At 32.7% G+C, this 24603-nt stretch overlaps 1 protein-coding gene across 5 annotated transcripts in view; it reads left to right on the forward strand.

Moving 5' to 3' along the window:
- The window catches only part of GRID2 (glutamate ionotropic receptor delta type subunit 2), a 1506491-nt gene that overhangs the window by 275300 nt on the left and 1206588 nt on the right, over positions 1-24603 (forward strand). For all 5 annotated transcript variants that reach the window (NM_001440459.1, XM_024454024.2, NM_001510.4 and 2 more), the window contains exon 2: positions 10866-11021. In NM_001440459.1, coding sequence (NP_001427388.1) covers positions 10866-11021 — 156 coding nt within the window. The remainder of the gene's footprint in view (positions 1-10865; positions 11022-24603) is intronic.

Consider the following 24603-nt stretch of genomic DNA (forward strand, 5'->3'; position numbering starts at 1 on the left):
ATGTGTTTAAAAGGCCACAGTGTATACTCTATCATCGCTTTTAACATGGCCCACAAATCATTTATAAATTATTCACTCTTTCCAGCTCTTTTTTGTTTCTTTTTCTTCAAAAGAGGATTACTACATTCCATGTCTTGGTGTCAAACTGTCTAAGAAAATAAATTAAGAACACAGTTTGAAGGCATTCACTGTTTTTCTCTTTCCCTAACACATTATTCCAAAAGCAGAATATTTTTTCTCAAGAATGGACTACATTTTTAACATAGATACAGTTTATATAGGATAAAAACTATAGGTCTTGGAACCCAGAGAGTTTTAGATTTAAGTCCTATATCATGTATGTTTTAGCATGTGATTAAGTAATTCATCTAACTTTTCTGATTCTTAGTCTCCTCAACTGTAAAATGAGGATTAAGAGAGATAACCTACAAAAATGATAAAGTTTAAAAACATTATTTCTTTTTTCTTAGTATGAATAAAACTTACAGTGGCAAGCATACACAACTTTGACCATTTTGTAAGGTTTATTTTCTAGCAAGTTATTATTAAAATACTATTTAGAAATTGATTTTTCTTAAGTAATTGATATACAAAATGTCAGAGACTGTGACTATGATACAGATCTTAAAAGATGAAACTGAGTCTATTATACTATATATGTATACATATGTATATAATATATATATTTTATATATGTGTATATATTTTATATATGTATATGTATTTTACATATATATTTTATATATAGTATAATGGACTCAGTTAATTTCATCATATCTACATATATACATATAAATATATATATAGTATAATTTGCTGTTATATATATTGCAGCTAATAAATACCTAGAAAATTTGCCGTCCTTCTGAGGGAAACTCATGTCTCCTTTACAGTTGTCTAGTCTACAGTTATAATAGAATTTCTGTTTTCTTAATGCTTTTGAAATATTTTACATGGCAATTCCCTGGAAATATCTGTATATTTTATAGGACATATTGGAAAAATAATCAGTGGATATCTGTAAAATCTTCATTGTTGCTAGTTAAATGTACATTCATGTAATAAAGAAGAAGAAAAAAATTACAAATGAGTTCAGAGTTAATAAATTATGAAGTTTGAGATTTATATTGGAAGAGTACCATTTTCCTACCTGAAATATTCTACAGGCTGCAATCTGTTACTTTAGAACTAAAACAGTAGTTTACAGAAGTTTTAAAATGCTCAATTACAAGAAACTTATTTATTTTGGCCCATTCAGATAGGTAAAATGATTTTTCATCTCAAAGTAGAGTAAATTTTTGTCTTAAACATAAAATTAGAATTTTTACTCTGTAGAAGACAGCCTACACTATATTATTTGTGTGCAAAATGAGTTTGACCCTTCTAAGAGGATCACATTCACATTATGGTTTCATACAGATATTTCTTTGGCATATGATTTTACTTATAGTAGTATAGGCCAATTCTCACATTTTTTTTGTGGAAGTTGAAGGTAATACTAAAAAGGTAGAGTAAATTGTTACAAGAAGAAAAATGTTAAATCTGTTCAATTTCTAAAAATATCTGCAACTTTTCTCCATGAACATACTTTTCAGTAGCTACCTTATCAGCTTTTTGCCTATTTGTTTTTTTTTTTTTTTAAATGCATCAGGTCAGTTTGGGAAGAATTTGAATTGGTGTGCAGTGTTCAAAGTGTCTATTGTCAAACCAATTCTTTTTGTTCTTGTCATGGCAGAATTTTGTAATAATAGGATATTGTTTCAATTAGATGTATGCAATAGAGAAAGAGACTGCAACATAGCACACAAGGTTCTGGTTGAATCTTCACGGATTCAGTAAGAAGAGATGTAAACTAATTTAGAGTTAAACATTGCTGCCTTTATACAAGAAAAAATCCAGATATTTGAGCTTTCACTGTCCAGTCCCCCCACCCTTTTTTTTTTTTTTTTAGAAATAGTCACAAGTACTCTTTAAAAAATTGCAAAGTATTCCTATTCAAAGAATTGATCTTTGAAATGTTTATTCACTAAACTAGTATAAAATGCATAAACTATTCTGAGAGGATTGATATTCCAACATGAAATTATTTTAAAAATTAACCTCTTACTATGCTCCATGTGGATGACTCAGCTTACCTGTTCCTTAGGCAAGCACCCTACATTTCCTTTTCTCCCACATACTTCTGGAAGACACACAGCAGTCAGACTTTTCCAGTGATAGTATTATCAGTTTAAATGTGCTTTGGGTTTCTGGATAACTATACAGGTTTTCCAAACGAAATGTGATTTCACATGTTATTGGAGAGTAAGGCTAAGAAAAGGGTCTTGTGTTAGAATGAAGAATCCCTTTGAATTTGACTTATTTCACACTATGAGCAAATGTCACATTCAAACATAAATCTCTGGAGAAATCTCTGGAGACAGTACTGAAAATTTCTCTTCTTGGTCTATGATTTAGACCTTCTCATTTTAAGTCACTATATCAAAAATATATTGAAGAAAACAGAATTTAAAGGTGTCTGAATTATTAAAAATATTTCGGACACTAGCTAAATGTAAATTACAATGCACATTCAAGGATTTCTGTATAATCATTTTAAATATCTGCGTGGAATTTTCTCCTTCCACTCATACCTTTCTACACTATATCATAACTAATACCCTCTGTGATCTTGACAATATCCTCTTTGAACTTGATTTCCTATGTTTAAAATAAAAATGATGCTTTCCTATAGGCTAACTAATTATGGTGGGTGGAATGGAAGTTAATATTATAAGGCACTTTGAACTCTCAGAACAAAGTGCTAAGTAAGCACTAGACAGTGGAAAATAACGAGCCAGATAGTTTCTGTACCTGGCCACAATTTGAATATTATAGACCTAAGTAAATTATCAATGTTCCTTAATATATAAAGTCAATAACTTTATATATTTTATACAATTTTTATTTTATATTTTATTGTCACTCTCTTAGGATTATTCGTCACTAAAGTAAGCAACAACAACAACAAAACTCCTTAGAAATTGAAAGGCTAGAGATTTGTTCTGAATTCTGCATTTAAAAATATGTCATAGTCCATATTCTATTGGAACTCACTTAACACTATTCCAAGGTAACTGCAAAGATTGTTATTTAAACTAAGGTTTAGAAATTCATATCAATTTACATCTTTATATATATTAATTATCCCTAAACACCCTTAAATATAAAGTTTGTATAAAAACAGGTAAATCAACTTCTGATATAGTATAAATTAAATCACTGAGACAAATATTGAACTTCAAAGTATGCAAAAAGTACTAGAAATTTTATAAAAATATGCCTAATTAATAAAATTTTATAAAACAAAATGTAAGACTGAAACCTATTTGAGAATTTTAATATACAATAAAATTTTATTATAATTATTATGAAATGATGGGTGTTGTGGCTTATGCCTGTGATCTCAGCGCTTTGGGATGCAGAGGTACAGTGATAGTATAGTTTCTCAAGTGAGGAACACTTGAGCTCAGAAGTTCGAGATAAGCCTGGGCAACAACGTGAGACCCCAGTCTCTACAAAAAATTTAAAAATTAGCCAAGCTTGGTTGCATGCCCCTGTAGTTCCAACTACTCAGGGAGCAGAGACAGGAGGATCAGGTGAGTCGGGGAGATTGAGACTGCAGTGAGCCATGGCTGTATAATTACACTCTAGCCTGGGTGACAGAGAAAGACTCTGTCTCTCTCTATATATATTATTATGAAAGTAAAAATATACATATTATTTTCTTATCTGGAAATTTGTTTTAATGTATATATTGCCAGTTATTAAGCTTCTAGTGTTTTCAGAAGATTGCTAAGAAACTGAGAGCTGTGGATTCTGCAGCAATTATTACTAGCTTGGGCCTAGGGAAAGTTACTTAACCTGAGTTTCATTTCCCTCAAAGGGTTTTTATCAGAACTAAATAAAATAATGTCTATGAGCCACTTAGTACAGTTCCTAGTACTAAAAAATATTAACTGCCAGTGTTTCTAATATTTCAATTATTATAAATTGGAGAGAAACACAACAGAGCACAATTGTCTCTAATTCAGAATAATATTTGCTAATTGTCATGAATTTGATGTATATCCAGCACCTCCTTTCCAACAATTAGAGTCATTGTTTTGGTTTCCTTCTTTAGTCAGTCAGAGTGCTTGTGAAGGGTTAGATAAGATGAACTGAGAAAAATATACCTCATGATAAAAAGATACAGGGTTCTGAAAACCCTATTTCATGCCTGCAAGGATATTAGCATAGAACATATTAGGAAATGTTCTGTTAAATAAGAGGCTGCTGAAACATTTGTAATACAGAATTAAATTGTGAATGATATATCAACTTAATTAATATTTCCTGAGCAGATAATAATTATATATATATATATACACACACATACACATATATAATATACATATAATTTATATATAAACACACGCACAAATAAGCACATTTATTACATACACACATATGTACATTCATTACATATACACAGTTGTAATATATATGTGAGTATGTAATAAATGTACCTATTTGTGCATGTGTAATATAAATATATAAACATGAACATGTATTACATAAATATATACACATATGCATATGTGCATATATATGTGTATATATTTATATACACATATATGTATATATATATATGTACAAACATTGCCTTCACCTTCATTGTAATGATATCCCACTGAAATAGTAGCTGATACTATGCTAAGTGAAGATGCTTATTGGTGTCAAAGATACTATCTATGCTTAAGTAAAGATACTAAATTGTATCAAAAACGCTAATCTCTTTTGGTCATAATACTGCTAATTTCTCTTACTACCTAGTAGTTTTGAACATGCTTAACATTTTTTCTCCTTGAACTGAGGGTAACATGAATGAGACAATGAAATAAAGGAGAAATCTGATTTTTACAATATTTATAATGCCTTTTATTATTTGCCCTCCTTTTAAAATGCCTGTATAATTTCCACTGGCAATTGTAGGAATGCCATTTGTAGATGAAAAAAATGTTATAAATCTCTTGACTTGGATATATGCTTACAGTGCAACTAACGTGTATGCAAAATGCATTGTCAGAATTAAATTAAAAACTCACTTGTGAATAGTAGCATCTAAAACAGAAAGGATATATGATGATTTAACAATTCTGAATAGCTCTGCAGAACTGTAAATCCTACTGTGACTAATAAACTCCCCAAGGCAGAAGGTTGCACTTTTTTCTTTATTTTAACTTCCTAAACTAAAGTTTTTGAAGCTTCTCAGGCAAAGGAATTAAATTTCATGTAAAACTAGTCTTACGATCAGCATTTTACTACATTTCATCAATTTTATAACCTTCATGGCTTAAAATAAATGGATTTAATATGCTAATCATCATTATAGTACTATTTATTGAATATATATGTATATGTGTATATGCACACACATATATGTACTGATGTACCCTCTGTCTATATATAGCCACCATAAAAAAAAATGCTTAAAGTGAAAAAAGCATAAAATGGCAGACATAGCTCCAAACTTGAAACAAGGACACCTAACCTCCTACTCTACATCTTGTAACCTTTGGCTGTGTAATTTGGGTGAAAACATTTAAAATGTTTGCACTACAATTTATGAAGCATGAGAAGGTTTTCATAAACCATCTCTAAAATTCCTTTCAGCTATGAGTTTACAAAAACAACATGATTCCTTCTTTTCATGATCTTCTTATGGCATCTTATTTCCACTATGGCTTTATTAAACACTTAACCCATTTCAAATATTTGGCCACTAAATAATTTGTTAAAGAGCACAGTGGCTTGGCTTTGATGGTTTTCTCTGTGTTTAGGAAAGATTGGTTTGATGAATAGATGGATGAATGGCTGGATGCATGAATGTGTGAACACAAAGAGAAAAAGTGAGGGGAAAAATTTGGGGGGTAGAGAGAGTGAGAGCATGCACAAAAGAATCATCTCTGTTGTTAAAAAGAAAATAAAAGATTCATTGCATGTAGCATCTTTGCTAACTTTCAGTTAAGTTTATTCCTTTTATGATTACCTACCATATATAATTTATATGTTAGTCAAAATTAAGTGAGTAAAGAGATTAAAAAGTTTGAACTTTCTGACTAAAAAATAAAGATCAGCTATCTTTGATTTTATTTGGAATTATGAAATCCAACGAAATATTTATGCACAAATGTTTTTATATAAGTTTTTCTAGATGATATGCTATTGATTTGCAAGAGGAATGTAGATGTGTTGATGCTTGGTTTCAATATTTAGAGTCTTTTATTTTAAACACAACTTGATAAGGTTGTTATAGAATATGTATATCTTCCAATAATTCTATTCGCTGTGGAAAATTTCTTCAAGATATATCAAATTTTTTCTCAATATTGTTAGAGGAAATTATGTGCAGGATGAACACATAATTTTTTCTCTACTATCTTATCAGGTAAATAATGTTTACTCCACTTGCCTCTTAAATTTATAAGACACAAAATTTTCAATATTCAAACTAAAATGCAAGTTTTTAGTATGATTATTAATTACCTTGTGTATGATTATTACCTTGCTAACTTGGGTTTTCTGGAATCGTAATAATGCCTGTGACAACAAATTAACATGCAAGTACATTTTCAAGTCTACTTTTGTTTTAATTTAGGTTTAGGTGTAACTTATATTTTATCCATACATCTGAATTTAGGTATTTTATTTTATAAGATTATATCTATTTTATAAGATTATACCTAATTTAATGTTAAAAAGATTTAATCAATGATTCTTGAGTGTCTAAACTATTCAGGCTCTTTTATACACAGTGTAAGTATAAAAATAGATTATATGGCCTAGGAAATTATATTTTGCTAATTGATAAGGACTACCTCTGTGGTAGAGGAAACACCAAAAATAAAACCAAGAAGGAGAAAAATCTTCGAATGTTTGGAGACTTGTTGAGTTGGTTAGGTTAGTGAACTTATAAATATTTTATTTAAAAGGCATATTTGTGAATGTATTTTTGGGTGAAATGATTTTATGATCTGAAGTACTGACTTATTTCAAGCACAAAAAATCTACACACACACACACACACACACACACACACACACACACATACACACACACAGACACCAAGCATATATCTATTAGGTTAAAAGAAGAAATTTGGATTGTCATTTTAAAAATTGGCAAGTAAGTATATGTATTTTGGGAATATTTAAATACCTTTCTAAAACATAATTATGTTTTTTTAACAGAAGTACTGTAGCTTGTCAGTTAGCTTTGAATTGTACAATAATTTATGAATTTTCAAAGGGCATACCTGCATTAATACTTTTACATATGACACTTCACAATGAAAATTTAAGCCATTATCATTGCTTTAATATTACTATAAATTGTAATTAAGTTGACAATTATATTTTTGTAGAACTTTGTCTAAATTTGGTATTTTTTTCATATATATGCTAATTGGTCCATTAGTCCGTGAAAATTGTTTTCAGTAGCATTACATGTAGTACAAACTCATAAACATTAATATTTTTCTAAGATATAAGAAGACATGTAAACATGATATAGTTTTCATTTAAAAATATATATTTTGGCCACTTGCATGTCAGTATGTTTGTATAAGGATTACATAAAGCCTTTATTTCTCCCCCCATAAAAGGAACAGAATATCAACCTTTAGTGATGGAAATGACTAAAAATTGCTGTAATAGGAATATTCAGGAGGTGTTCCTTTCCTGCTTTATTGATTGGTTATTCTTCCCTTCAGTTTGGCCAATAAGAAATATATAGAGAGTACTGATGAAATGCTGTGTGTGTGTGTGTGTGTGTGTGTGTGTGTGTGTGTGTGTGTCAGTGGTGGAATAATTATTTTATATTGACAGGTCTAATCTGCTTTTCCCATGAAGGTTATAAAATAAAACTGAGTGTAAAATCATGCTAATAAAAATACCTGAGAAGGATCTAGATGCTTTGACATCATGTTAACTACATAGTTAAGAATGTTACATTTGAGCAACTATATAGTTAACAAAGTAGATCTAGTACCTATAGTATTGGATTATCTAGATTGGTAATATTTGTATATTAATACAAAGAATAGAGATGACTTTGCTGTGACTATTGGAAGTGGGTGAAATTAGAAAGGAATTTCTGTCCCAGGATCCTTCCTGTGGAACTAATCACATTGTTTTCAGAATGCTTGTGTTGAAGACAAAATACTGCATGCACTCCTGTAGTACAAAGTCAGTTTAAGATGAGATTTTTATAGCTGAAGAAAAAAGTAAATAAATAACTGGGATTTGAAATGTTGGATAAGATTTTCTGTTCTTTGATTACACTGTTTGCAATAAGATGAACTGTTTCTTCTGTGTACTTCCTTGCTGTTTGCAGAAAGATGAACTGTTTCTTTTATCCATTTTTTCAGTATATCTTAATTCTGCAAAGGATTGACTAATGTGCTATCATTTCTGCAGGTTTCTGCTGTTTATTAACCCAAGTTTAATGTTTAAGGCAATATTAAGTGTTCTGCCATGTAATAGTAAAATGCTTCCATCAAAAATGTATTACCAATACAGCAGAAGTCAATAACGTCACCTGCTATAAAACAAGGTTGATAAGAAGCCCTTTTTTAAAGACTCATTTAGAACCCACGACAACTTGAAACATCTTTGTATAAACACACATTACTACTTTGCGAATAGACATTTAGATTATCTGGTTTAAAATGAATTGGTTATTTCAGCTTCAATTGTAAAAAATTTGTATCATACTTCCTAACAAACTATTAAAGAAATTTGTATATCTAAACCTGAGAGTATTAAATTTCAATGTAATGATTAATCTAGATCTACAAAGGATTATCACATATTAAAATAATTCTTATGAAAGCTGCTTAAATTAGCAAGATAGGTCAAACATTTATTGTCTAAATGTTTTTACAAGAGCTTAGATTAAAAAGCATTATCTGGTTCAGAAAAGACAGGTTAAGTAAAAATTAAAGTCTATAATATATATTTGATTAATAAAATAATAATATTCTCACTAGTAAACATCTGATAACATATTAAGGAAGTACTCAATTTATATGTCAATTTTAAAAATTCTGGCCAGGCGCGGTGGCTCACGCCTGTAATGCCAGCACTTTGGGAGGCCGAGGTAGGTGGATCACGATGTCAGGAGATCGAAACCATCCTGGCTAACACAGTGAAACCCCGTCCCTACTACAAATACAAAAAAAAATTAGCTGGGCGCGGTGGCAGGTGCCTGTAGTCCCAGGTAATTGGGAGGCTGAGGCAGGAGAATGGGGTGAACCCGGGAGGCGGAGCTTGCTGTGAGCCGAGATGGCGCCACTGCACTCCAGCCTGGGCAACAGAGTGAGACTCCGTCTCAAAAAAAAAAAAAAAAAAAAAAAAATTCTTCATTAGTTTCTCTCAAGTTCTCAGCCATGGACAGGTATTCAAAATATATAGGAAACAAGGCTATGGCTTGAGGAGACTGATACAATCCATGCCAATATAAAAGAGCAGTGATGGCCAGGCACAGCGGCTCACTCCTTTAATCCCAGCACTTTTGGAGGCTGAGGCAAGTGGATCACGTGAGGTCAGGGGCTCGAGACCAGCCTGGCCAAAATGGTGAAATCCCGTCTCTACTAAAAACACACAAAAAAATAGCCGAGTGTGTTCGCGTGCACCTGTAATCCCAGCTACTCGGGAGGCTGAGGCCGGAGAAGGGCTTGAACCCGGGAGGCGGAGGTTGCAATGAGCTGAAATCACGCCATTGCACTCTAGCCTAGGCGACAGAACAAGACTCCATCTCAAAAACAACCAACCAACCAACCAAACAAAAAGAGCAGTGAAAAGATAAAGCCAGCTCCACACTGGCTTTATAATACACACTGTGTATATAATGATAATACACACAATGTGAGGTTTAAACAAATGTGTTTAATACACACAATGTGAGGTTTAGACAAATGTGTTTAATACACACAACGTGAGGTTTAGACAAATGTGTTTAATACATACAATGTGAGGTTAGACAAATGTGAGGTGTAGAATTTGAGCATGTTGCTCAAGGTCGTATACTTAACAAGTGACGGTCAGTATTTAAAATCAGTTTGCTCTTAGAATCAATGTGTTTACCAAATATTCCATTACCAATCAAATAGTCAATAAAAGTTAGCACAGTGTTTATCATCATCATATTTACACATGGATAAAAAATGCTATAATTATCCATTAGGACTTACATTAGTTCCTTGAGAAATATTTATCCATTCCCTCTGCACAGAGATTTGAATGTCTTTACATTTTCTATAAATATTATTGACTTTACTATTATAAAAGATAATGAAACCCGTGTTCAAAAAAATGGGGGGAGTAAGAAAGGAAGGAAATGAAAAATAAATTAAGATCGCAAGAAAGGTTTGATTCCTATATATTCTATGAATGGACCTCAAGAAGTTTTCTGAGGTTATTTCCTTTTATTCAGAAAAGAAATCTTCCAGCTATGAATTCCTTAAAAATTTCATGATATAAGATATCCAATGTATTGGATACTTTGTCATGTAGAAGCTTTTTATACCTATTATGTTTTCTTCCCCATGACCTCCCCGCAATAACACTTTGAGGTACTATTTATCATTCCATTTGGAAGAAGTAACTATATTCCTTCTCAGCTATTACACTGCTTCCAGTACAATGTGTTTCATTAATAAATAAAGTGCATGCTCTAAGTGAAAGTATATGTTTTTTAAACACATAAGTCTCCTTGTCATATTTCCAGAGGGGATGACAGAATATTTATGTTATTATTTAATGGCAAAATTCACTTCTTTCTAGGAGCAATTTTTGATGAATCTGCCAAAAAGGATGATGAGGTATTTCGCACTGCGGTTGGTGACCTTAACCAGAATGAGGAGATCTTACAGACTGAGAAAATCACATTTTCAGTGACGTTTGTTGATGGCAACAACCCTTTCCAAGCAGTTCAAGAAGGTAAGGTCATCAGTATTTATTTTGGTTTTTTGGTTCAATTCAAGTGGCAATGAAATTATCTTTGATGAAACTTATTAAACATGGACATCATTTTTGTATCTTGTTGATAATAGGGCATTATTTTCCTTGGAGATCACTGTTTTGTAGATGTTAATCTTGTATTCCAGTTTTGAAAGGGCAGAATGTGGAAAGTTATTATATTAATTGAAATATAATATGAAAATGAACAAATATTTACATGTAAAAGCTTTGCAACATTTTTATGACTTCAGTGTAAATGAAACATCTTTTTAAAATAGTATTTTCTAACAGAAAGTTTACTTTGGACTTCTCTGAGATAACTGCCACCTTGGGTATTGTTACAACTTGGGATGACATATCAGGTGAACTCATGACAAATGTACTGCTGAAAGAAAAACCCTTGGACACTACATACAAATCAAAGATTTTGTATTAGGACTCTAACATACTGACCTACGCTATAAATTTTACTCTCTACGAGGCACCAAATATTAAAGCACTTTCCTCCTTTTCCTCTGTAAACCTGAGTAAATTAAATTTTTTCATTGGTGCAAAGTAATGCAAATACCAATTATTTTTAATATATTGGAATCATCATTCCTATTATGAAGGTTTTGATTGAAAGATCCTAGAAAAATGGAATTTTCTGTTTGCTTCTATTAGTCTAATTAAACATTTAGCCTTGATCCAGAAAGCACTCACTTTAAATGAAACTATTGGTTGATAATTGGGAAGGTCTGAATGTTTGTGTCCCCTCCTACCCCGCTGCATAGGTTGAAACTGAATTCCCATTCTGGTGGTATTAAGAGGTGGGGCCTTCAGGAGATGATTAGGTCATGAGGGCTCTGTCCTCATGGATAGGATTAGTGCCCTTATAAAACAGGCCCAAGGGAACTTGCCTGCCCCTTCTGCCATTCGAGGACTCAGCAAGAAGGCACCGTCTGTGAAGCAGAAGAAGATCTCTCACAAGACACCTAATCTGCTGGGCCCTTGATCTTGGATTTGCTGGTCTCCAGAACTGTAAGCAATAAATTTATGTTACTTATAAATTACTTAGCCTGAGGTATTTTGATGTAGCAGCCTAAACTAAGAAACTAGTCTACCTTATTTTTTATTGTGATGATGTATTTAAACTGAAGATAATGAATGCAAAATTAATTTAGTCAAATAAAACATTTGCCTCATTAAAAATTTAAATAGAATTTGGCAGAAGAAAAGGCAGATACCATATTAACTGTAACAAAGTTGGGCAGGATTTTTTTTGTAATGCAAACATTGAAAGAGTAAGGAAAATAAAAGTGTCTGAAAATGTGTACTTTTCATTTACTGTTTTATCTGCTTGATGCGCAGGTAACATTTATTGAAATATATTTTCAATCAATAGCACTGGCTACTGTTGAAACTTATTTATGTTAGTTAGAAAATAGATATGTGATTGGTGGTCTAAAAGTTTTTTCCTTGTTAATGGAATGGAGTAAAAAATCATTATTTTTTGAAATGAATAGAACTGTTTTAAGTAAAAACTGGCTTTACAAAGAATAGGATAATAATGTTTATAATAATACAATGAGATTTTAATTTTTAATAAGTAAACATTAATGCAAAAAGTCAGATTGAAATAACCATTCAGTTATTTACATTTTAAAATCAGAATCATCCCGACAATATAAGGATTTCAATACTGGAAATGTTAATAAATATTAATAAATTTTCTATGGAAATATTTAAAAGCAGTATAAATTAATATTAGAAATAATAGAAGGATCTGGAAAATCATAACATAGAATTTGAAGATACCAAATCATTTTAAAGATATATTCAATAGGAAATATATGTCATTCATTTTTAAGAAATCTGTATTATTTTTCTTTCTTAACTCTTATTTGTAAGGACCAGAATGTGAGCAGGAAAAACGTGAGGACTGATTTCTTTCTTTATCTTCTTAGTAACTACATATTAATAATTGTGAATTAACTTCAAAGACAGGCTAAACTACCTATGCTTTTTAAAAATTAACCTTGAGTAAAAAAGTAGTAAGAAAAAAAATGAAATGAAGACAACACAGTGGTGAGAAACCGGAATTATAAATTAAGAAGAAAAAGTCCCTCACCCCTTTATTAAAGACTATAATTTGAAAAGTAATGACAGTTTTTTAAATACTACACCTTTTTTTTTGTTTCAACATTGCTCTCTTTAATTATTCTGCTGCCAGCTAAATTCTGAAAACAAAAATATCTTGCAATAGTGACGTGACGGCACTGAAAGCAAATTGAGAGAGGCAATAAGGTTCCCAGATAGAGACCACTAGGTATTTGTCAAGAAAAATGAAAGAGCTGGACAGTTTGCCTGATGGTTTCTGATACTAACAGGATGTTCTCCACCAGTTATTGTGATGGTCAGCTTTGGGTAATAAACCTGAAATGAGTTCCAGGAAGCTTTAAAGACAATTTGTTTCCCTATTCAATATCAAGAAGGGTTTCAGTTAATGTTAGAAGTAAAAATACTTATTTATAGAATTTTTTTTGTAAAACGGTGGCTTGAAAAAAATAAGAGAAAATATTCTATTGAAAGATAACAAACAACCCATTCAGAAGCACTATTTTCTTCAATGTTTTGAGGAAGTAATTTAGGAGAAAACCTCAACTGTGCCATTGAAGATAGTCAACTTTCTCTCACATGTTTACTGCAATACTATGCAAACTTGTATTGAGAGGGACTAACATCACCTTGTCTGTTTTCATTTTTTTACAGTCTAAAGAAGGAAAAAAGATTCAATGATACAATTATAAGTGATTGCTTATATATTAGCACTCCTAATGAATTTATAGAAAAACTCATGGTTTTGATCCCTCTGCCTGTTTATTCAAATTTGAAAGTCTCATCCTTGAACAAATAGCATCATCAAACATATAGATAGTAATAATGACAAATGATAATAGGGATCACTCAGAGGTTAGATAAGTAAAATCTAATAGCTTGAAATCCTCAATTTATTTTATTGTTAGAATTTCCTCTAATCAGCCACATTTAAGAGCTGGTTTTTTATTTTAAAAATCAAAATTTCTGTTCACTGTATCTTTCTACTGTTATCACTTAATAAGAGAGAGGAATTCAGTGACAGCCTATATAACCCATAAACAGTAATAAAGAGTATTGGTGTTTTGGAAATCTTCCTTTGTAGCTTTGGCTACAGTACATTTTTGGATAGCAATTAATCCTTTAGAAAATGAGTTTCTAGACAGATACCTCAGTTATAACACGGGGTACACATTCCATTCTCTGGAGATCAATGACTGTATCTGTTAATTTTGTCAGTATTTGGTAACATTGATTTCAGATCTTTGAAATACATGAATAATAGAAAAAAATTTCTGTTTTCACAAAAGTTATCTGGAAATAAATTACCTATTTTGAGATTATTCTTTTTTCCTTTCTTATGAATGTATTTGTTGATAAGCCATTTTTCATCTTTTGTGTACTGAGCTGCAGGATATTAACTAAGGGCAAATACATTTTCAAACCTTAACTCACGAGGTTTTCTTGACAATTTTTTTTTTCATTTGGATAGGCTATTTTGGTATCTAGGATGTAGTGTTCTCCGTAAAAAGATAAATACAAAAAGAAAAAAAAAACGTATATGGGTTATTTTTAAAAACCTTGAGAATTATAGGGGTGGAAAATTATATAAATCTGGTTGAATATTTTCACAATTTAGATGAAATAATTGAGACCCAGAGAGGTTAAATAATTTTCCCTAGTTCTTCTAGGGTTACCATGCTTGTGTGTAGCAGAAAAAGAACTAAACCAAGACCTCCTTTACATCACTAGTCCAGTATTTTTCTTGCTATATACCCACCCATGCATATATATAGACACACATGAGATAGCACAATGTATTATAGGACTTCAGTAAATAATGTAAGGACTCAAAAAAGTAGCAGATTTATGTTTTGATATTTATTTGCTATTTATTATTTATGTTCAACCATGGAATAGTAGGAAAATTTCAATCTAGGTGATAAAGACCAGTTACATTATATAAATCAATCTTGTTCTTTTGGCCTTGGTTTTCCTCATTTGTAAAAAATGAAGGAATCTGAATATAATGTATTTTTAAGGTAACTTTCATCTCTATGCTTCTATGACCCTTAAGAACACAGTTCTAGAATTAGAACCTTATAGAAACGATCATTATTTAGTGTCCCTTTAGAGAAAGTTTCACGTTGCTGAAATTGCCTCCTAGTTTTTCTGTGTCTGACTTTAAAATAGATTAAACAGATATAGGGTATCCATTGTTTGTTCTGCCACCTCATTCAACTATTCACCACAACCCACAGTACTCATTACCACCAATAGAATTCAAAGGATCTTGTGCTGATTCCCTTAACCTGAACCAAAGTAGCTGTTCATAGGTTACTCTTTTTATTCATAAGTTACTCTTTTTATTTTCTCTTATAAATTTTTTCTTCTGTGGCATCTATGTACAACATTTAGCATAAATGTACAAATGTTTTTGTGAAAAACACTGCTGTCGTTTCTGAAAGCAGTACTTATTGTTTATATTGTTAGCTCTTAGCTGAGATGAACATAAAATGGGCCATGAAAGGTGGAAATTTATAAGAAAACAAAGTCAGGAAATGTAAGGATGGTATATTTGTAGAAATCCTCAAGTCAAAAGGTGAATGAAGTATGAATCCATATATAATTCTTACATGTATTTGATGTATTAAGAAGGAAGTGAAGCATCATTCTTTGATATTTAATGACAAGATTCAGCTAAACAATTTTGAAATAATTGCTCTTATTAGAAAAATACCTAAAAATAAGCTGCATCGTGAATATAAGGGCAACATTATACTATAAAGTCACAAATGATTCTGTTTGAAAGAAAATGTATTAAACTATAATACTTTTTTATGTATTGCAAAACATTATAAACAATATCATTATAATTTAAAAACACAAGGTTTTTGAAAAAATGTCCAGTGCTTTTTGAAATATAAAAATTTGAATCAATATCTCAAAGTACAATTCAAAGAAGCAAACTCTTATTGTAATATGCAGTAATGGGATTCATTAAAGTTAAACTGTTGTGATGCTGGAAATATGAACACAAAATAAATGATATTTTTAATATATATAAAAAAGTTGTAGTTAATAGAGATCATCTTGCAAGTTTCAGTCTGGTAGACCTTACGACTACTTCTTTGCATATCTTAACACCAGTGTTGATTACCCATTGCTCTTGTAAAAGGTAAACATTTCACTAATAAAATGATGATTTCAATTAGATCTGCCTCATATATCTTCTAAAATAAAATAATTTCCAGTATATGATTATGCTTATAAAACAATAAAACTGCATTCATTTTTGGTTTATGTTACCAATCTCATTTCTTTATAGTTATAAAAATACATACATATTTATTTCATGTGTGTAAATGGGATGACAGGAAATTAGCACAGTCAGAAAAAGTGCAAGGAAATATAATTAGGAAAAAGCACATCTCCAAAACACATTACCATCCATGGTGAATATTTCTGGTCATTGATTAAATCTAAATAGTCTAGTCCAAAGAAGATGTAAATAGAATGATTTGTGTGGCTGCATTATTTGACACTTCTTTCCAGGGATTATTCTCATTTATATTTCATTTATTTGCCCACTGCTTTAATATGACATTTTTACTGTGATTAAAAAATCTGCTAATTTCAAACTTCTTACACTGGATTCTGCAACTTTCCTAGCATAATACTACAGTATGTGTACCCCAACAGCCTGTGTTTCCTGGACCAATTTTGATAACTTCAATTCCAGCTTATTTTCTGAATTGTCTGACAATAAACTAAACTTGAGAATTGTTGTCTGTAGGAGCTGAGAAACAAAACTAGGAGATCATGTGGGTATGATTCTATTCATTCATTCATTCATTCATTCATTCATCCATTCGTTCATTTATTCACTGTTTTCATTCCTACTTTCCTTCCCACATCAAAGTCAAGGTTGTGCCTTGAGTCTCAATGTCTATCCCAGTGCTCTGGTTAACTCTGGACCATCTACATGTGTGAATTAGTGGAAGGAGCAAATCGTGTTGTTGAACAGCCATCTCCAAACACCTGCACATCAGGAGGGATGCTGGATGTCTATTCAGTGACTAAACCCCCTGTTTTCCTCTATGAGGGAAGATACTTAGCTTGGTCCTTTCCCCAGCAATCTCCTGCCAAAACCTGTATTACTTTTTCTCCTTGCCTGTCACATTCTAAAGACTGGGCCACAAGGTCTGGAATTAGAATCTATCTTATGTGTGATCTTTAGTGTCCATCATCAATGTAGTATTAAAGGACAAATAATTCTATGCTTGTTAGAGACAACACCAATATGCATTAAGAAAAAAAAAAACAGCTCACACAAACCTTTTCCACTGCAGAATTTCCCATTAAGAGCAATTAAAAATATATATATTTAGAACCTAATTTTGAGATTACTCAGTCAAATTAATTTATTCAAGTGCTTATTAAATGCCTAGTACTTCCAAGATTGAGCCAGCTACAATGGGAGATAACCAAAAAACAAAAGAACACAGCATATAACTCCAGGAATAAAAATGTATTTGAGGAAAGCTGTGGATTTTTAACCATGAAAAAGCATGCCGTTCCCCTCTACCTTTAACTTGAGGTTTAATTGTGTTAATAATAGAAGGAACAAGATGGTCTAGCTTTTTAAGTATACTTTTCAGGAAAGACAGGTATTTTCTTTTTTTTACGATCATTATACCAAATTTATTTATTTTTATTTTTATTTTTATTTGTTTAATTTATAAAGGAAAGAAGTTTAATTGACTCACAGTTCCACATGGCTGAGGAGGCCTTAGAAAACTTACAATCATGGCAGAAGGGGAAGAAAATATATTCTTTCTTAAAGAAGGTTATTACTTTACCTTTAAACAAAATATTAATGAAGATACAAATTGCATAGTCTAATCTTTTTTCCTGTTATTTGTTGTTTTACTGCTGTATTTGTATGTCTTTCCCTTACCTCATTTGATATCATACTCTTGAAGTAACAGGTCTCTACTACAGTGAATGGATTGAAATTCAGATGTTTACAGACCTCTACATCATAATTTTATAGCCTTTGTGCTTCGAGGACTTTTACCTCACTATCTACAATTGTGATCTGTTGTGTTACCTCATAAAATATATATTTTAGCAATTTGTGCTGCTCTGGATTTTGTTTTATTTGGAAGAGTCTTTAGCAGCGTTCTGTGAAAGCTGTGTTTAAAGGAAGTAAAGATTTGTTCTTTTGTTGTCTGTGTTCTTTCTTCTACCAATTCTTTTCTCCTAATAATAGCACATCACTTTCTTGTATTCTTCTATGTCTGTATGTATGGTGCATGGATATGGTAACATAATTCACTTTTAATCAGTCTTTTTTGAAACTGACTCATTAGAGGAATCACTACATATCTTAAATTAACTCTGAATATCTGGTTGATTTGATTAAAAACCACATTTACCTACACTCGCAGTTGTAATGAGAGATCATTATGTAGTCATAAAATAATTTAAGTTCATGTTGACAAACCAATGATGACTTCAGTATATTTGGAATTTTCAATCTGTTATCACTATTATCAATATCCAACTTTTATATGATCCAGTTTACCTGGTTAATTTTAGAAGAAATAGCAAGCTGACATTTACTTTCACATTTAACACCTATTTTTTGTTGTCCTTGACAAGTGTAATGAGGTTTATGGGAATCACACTGAATAGTCTTTTGGGACTCATGCAATAGTTTGTTATCTTGTAATTTTCAAAATAATTATTACAGAAAAGCTCTCTTTTAAAAGGAACATGCAATAAGCCAGTGTGCAATAGGAAATTGCATATTCTGGGAAAAAAAAGAAAATGAATCCGCCAGTACCTTTTGGGTGCCTGTGAACATTCAGTCTTGTGCCAACTACTCTGCACACTGTCATGCTCTCCATTGGCTGCCCTGTCGTCTTACATGGTTAATTTGGCCTTTACTCTGTAACCTAGTGTTAGGTCCTGACCTATGTGTACCTCTCTTCTTTTTGCCCTCCCATTATAGTACTATTTTTAAACTCTTTATTTAGCCCCCTTTTAATCCTTGACTCTCCATATTATACTGCAGACACTCAAAATGTCTGCATTTAGTTCGGTATGTAAATCTTAAACTTGGTTTCATTTACCTCGCAGGGAAAAACATATATATTAAGTTCATAGCCCATGGAATTAGATACCTGCCTTTATTTTATGTATGAATTCTGCTCTATGTCTTATTATCTGTGGGCCCTTGAACACACCTACTATTTCTGAGTCTCAGTTTCTTCACATGTAAAATGAGGATAAATACATACTCCATAGCATTAATATGATTATGTGATTATTGTGTAATGATTATATGGGATTGTAAATATGGTAGATGGGTTCCTCCACTAATCTAATTACATTTTAATGATAGTGCTGTATGTGATGATTTAGTACCATTGCATGTGTCCCTCAGTAAGTTTTCACCCGTTTCCAATATTTCCTTCCCAAACATATTCTAGTACTTTTATTAGTGGTTCCCATGGATACCTCTGAGCCTAACCTTATTACCTGCGTAGTCAGCGACATATTTTTGCCCAAATGGGACTTTCCTTACCAAGATTTTGAGTGCTGTGGTTTTAAATATATATAATGAAATGCTTTTCCTTTTTTTTTTTTTTTTTTTTTCCTGTCTCTCTCTCTCTCTCTTTCCTTGGGCTGGTTCTGCTAGTCAGCACAGGAAGATGAGAATTATACATGTAGTGTAATTTATTTGGCAAATAGTAGTGATGTTGCAACATGTGTACTTAGGGTTGGGAGGATTTAAAATACCTTGTTACCATTTCTGGGAAGTAGAGAAAGGCCATGGAGGCCAAATTAAAGCTTTCTGATGATTTGTGTAGGCTTAATACAATCGGTGAAGTAAATAAGGCGCTGAGTCATAGCTAAATGGAATTTGGCTGTAGAGCAACATAGTGTTGTAGGAGAGTGATATATATGAAGGTTGAATATAGAAATTAATTCAAGGAAAGCTTTATGCTTTGAAAGATGGATCATCTCTGGCAAATTTATATCTGACATGATTGTTTAAAAGGTTATCTTTCCATGCTTTGCACATTTCATTGCAATTATACATAGGGAAATATTAACTTTAAAAACTCAGTCATTTGCTTATTTGAATTTCTTGTACTGTACTTCAAAAACACATGATATCATGTTATTTTCTTAAGAATTTATGCCTCACTTCAAAACAGATTTACTTTTTGGTCTTTGATAGACTAACGTGATATGATGGTTAGATGGGTTAAGTCCATTTCTTAAGCTATATTTCAAACATAAATATACATTAAAATGTCTACTATATATAAAAAATATATATTCCAGGCCATGCACCGTGGCTCACGCCTGTAATCCCAGCACTTTGGGAGGCCAAGGCAGATGGATCACGAGGTCAAGATATCGAGACCATTCTAGCCAACACGGTGAAACCCCGTCTCTACCTAAAATACAAAAATTAGCTGGGCCTGGTGCCATACACCTGTAGTTTCAGCTACTCGGGAGGCTCAGGCAGTAGAATCGCTTGAACCTGGGAGGTGGACATTGCAACGAGGCGAGATTGCGCCACTGCACTCCAGCCTGGGCGACAGGGCAATACTTCATGTATGTGTGTGTGTGTGTGTGTGTATATATATATATATATATATATATATATATATATATATATATATTTCTCAGAATGTATTTTAGGGGAGGGTGTAGGTGGGGAAGCAGTTGACAAATCAAAGTCAGAAACAATCTTAGTATAGAGAATATTCTTGAATAGTATTACCTTGAATGCTAAGAAATATTTTTGTATTTTTGAATGTATACTTATACAAACAGAAAGTTCTGAAGTGGTCTCATGTACTCATTCATGTTATTAAACCTGAGCAAGGTATAGAGGGCTCAGGTGAGAGAGGGTAACTAGAGGATTAAAAATTAATACACAAAACAGAAAAGGTCACATTCTTACAGGTCAAGGGATGAGAAGTTGTCATATTAGCCTCATTCTACCTGCTCAGAAATCCTGCTTTTATTATGTTATATTTATTTGTTCAGTAAGCTTTAGTGTTTAGAATTGTGTTGCACAGTTCAAAGTTTTATCTCTATATTAACTCCAAGAACTACGGGATTGTGTAAAAAGACTGAAATGATGACTGACTATGGGGACTTTTTCGTTGATGCTGTTGTTGCTGCCTTCTGTTGTTTGTTTTTCTTTTAAAGTCAGGCCCCTCTTCTGTAGGGCTGCTGTGGTTTGCTCGGGGTCCACTTCAGACCCTATTCACTTGGGCCCCTCCCATACCTGGAGGTGTCATCAGTGGAGGCTGCAGAACAGCAAAGATGGCTGCCTGCTCCTTCCTCCGGGATCTCCGTCGCAGAGGGAAACCGACCTGATGCTAGCAGGAATGCTCCTGTAAAAGGTATCTGGTGACCCCTGTTGGAGAGTCTCACCCAGTCAGGAGGCATAAGATGCAGGACCTCTTAACAAAGCACTCTGGCTGCCCCTTGGTAGAGGAAGTGCACTGTGCTGGGGGCACTCCCATACATCTGGACTGCCTAGATTCCTCAGAGCCACCAGGAAGGACTAAGTCTGTTGATCCATGGAGACCACAGCCGTCCCTCCCCCAAAGGGCTTAACCCCAGAGAGACCAGAGCTCTGTCCCTACACTCCTGCCTGAAGTTGCTGAAATTCCTGCAGGGAGGCCCCATCCAGTGAGGAAGGATCAGTCAGGGTCCAGCCTAAAGAGGCAGTCTAGACAGGATCTGCCACAGATCAAGTGGACCTGATAGATATCAATAGAACTCTCCACCCACAAATAACAGGATATACATTCTTAGCAGAGCATGGCACTTACATTAAAATTCATCACATAATTAGAAGTAACACACTCTTTAGCAAATGCAGAATAGCTGAAATCATAACAAACAATATCTCATACAACAGTGAACTCATATTCAAACTCAAGATTAAGAAATTCACTCAAAACCATACAACTAAATGGAAATTGAACAACCTGCTCCTGAATGACTTTTGGATAAATCATGAAATCAAGGCAGAAATCAAGAAGTTCTTTAAAACTAATGAGAACAAAGAGAAAACATACCAGATTCTCTGGGACATAGCTGAAGCAGTGTCAAGAGGGAAATTTATAGCACTAAAGGCCCACATCAAAAAGCTAGAAAGATGTCAAATTGACATCCTAACATCACAACTAAGAGAAATAGAAAACTAAGAGCAAACAAACCCCAAAGCTAACATAAAACAAGAAATAACCAAGATCAGAGAGGAACTGGAGGGAGAGACATGAAAAACACTTCAAAAATAAATCCAGGATTTATTATTATTTATTTAAAAATGTAGACCACCTGCTGAAATAATAAAGAAAAGAGAAGAATCAAATAGACACAAGAAAAATGATAAAAAAGATACTGTCACTGACCCCACAGAAATACAAACAACCATCAGAGAATACTATAAACACCTCTATGCAAATAAACTAGAAAATCTAGAAGAAATGGATAAATTCCTGGACACATACCCCCTCGCAAGACTGAACCAGGAAGAAGTTGAATTCTTGAACAGACCAATAACAAGTTCTGAAATTGAGGCAGTCATAAATAGCCTCTCAAGGAAAAAAACCCCAGGGCCAGACGGATTTATAGCTGAATTCTACCAGAGGTACAAAGAGGAGCTGATAGCATTTCTTCTGAAACTATTCCAAACAATTGAAAAGGAGGGACTTCACCCTAACTCATTTTATGAGGCCAGCATCACTGTGATACCAAAACTTGCCAGAGATTTAAAAAAAAAAAAAAGAAAAGAAAAGAAAAAAAGAAAGAAAAAGAAAAAAGAAAAAGCTTCAGGCCAGTATCCCTGATGAACATCGATGTAAAAATCATCAATAAAATACTGGGAAACCGGATTCAGCAACACATCAGAAAGCTTATCCACAATGAACAAGTAGGTGTCATCCCTGGGATGCAAAGCTGTTTCAACATACACAAATCAATAAACATAATTCATTACATAAACAGAACTAAAGACAAAAACCACATGATTATCTCAATAGATGCTGAAAAGGAATTTGATAAAATCCAACATCCCTTCATGTTAAAAACTCTCAATAAACTAGATATCAATGGAACATACCTCAAAATATTAACAGGTGTGTATGACAAACCCACAGCCGGTATCATACTGGATTGGCAAAACCTGGAAGCATTCAACTTGAAAACTCGCACAAAACAAGGATGCCCTGTCTCACGACTCCTATTCAACATAGTGTTGGAAGTTCTGGCCAGGGTAATCAGGCAAGGGAAAGAAATAAAGGTTATTCAAATAGGAAGAGAGGAAGTCAAACTGTCTCTGTTTGTAGATGACATGATCTTCTATCTAGAAAACCCCATCGTCTTAGTCCAAAAGCTTCTTAAGCTAATAAGCAACTTCAACAATGTCTCAGGATACAAAATCAATGTGCAAAAATAACAAGCATTTCTATACACAAACAACAGACAAGCAGTCAAATAATAAATGAACTCCAATTCACAATTGCTACAAAATGAATAAAATACCTTGGAATACAGCTAGCAAGGGAAGTGAAGGACCTCTTCAAGGAGAACTACAAACCACTGCTCAAAGAAATCAGAGAGGACACAAAGAAATGGAAAAACATTCCATGCTCATGGATAGGAATAATCAATATTATGAAAATGGCCATACTGCTCAAAGCAATGTATAGATTCAATGCTATTCCCATTAAACTACCGATGACATTCTTCAGAGAATTAGAAAAACTACTTTAAAATTCATATGGAACCAAAAAAGAGCCTGAACAGCCAATTCAATCCTAAGCAAAAAGAACAAAGTTGAGCCATCACACTACCTGACTTCAAACTATACTACAGGCTACAGTAACCAAAACAGCATGGTACTGACAGAAAACACACACACAGACCAATGGAACACAACAGAGATCTCAGAAATAAGAGTACACATCTACAACCATTTGATCTTAAACAAACCTGACACAAATAAGCAATGGGGAAAGGATTCCCTATTTAATAAATGGTGCTGGGAAAACTGGCCAGCCATACTTAGAAAACTGAAACTGGACCCCTTTCTTATCCAAAAATTAACTCAAGATGGATTAAAGGCTTAAATGTAAAACCCAAAATGATAAAAACCCTACAAGAAAATCTAGGCAATACCATTCAGGATAGAGGGAGGGACAAAGATTTCATGAAGAAAACGCCCAAAGCAATTGCAACGAAAGCAGAATTTGACAAATAAATATAATTTAACTAAAGAGATTCTGCACAGCAAAATAAACTACCATCAGAACAGAAAACCAACAGAATGGGAGAAAATTTTCACAATCTATCCACCTGACAAAGGTCTAATGTCCAGAATCTACAAGGAACTTAAACAAATTTAGAAGAGAAAAACAACTCCATTAAAAAGTAGTCA

This window comes from Homo sapiens, chromosome 4 (genome assembly GCF_000001405.40).
Source record: "Homo sapiens chromosome 4, GRCh38.p14 Primary Assembly".
NCBI classification, from domain to species: domain Eukaryota; kingdom Metazoa; phylum Chordata; class Mammalia; order Primates; family Hominidae; genus Homo; species Homo sapiens.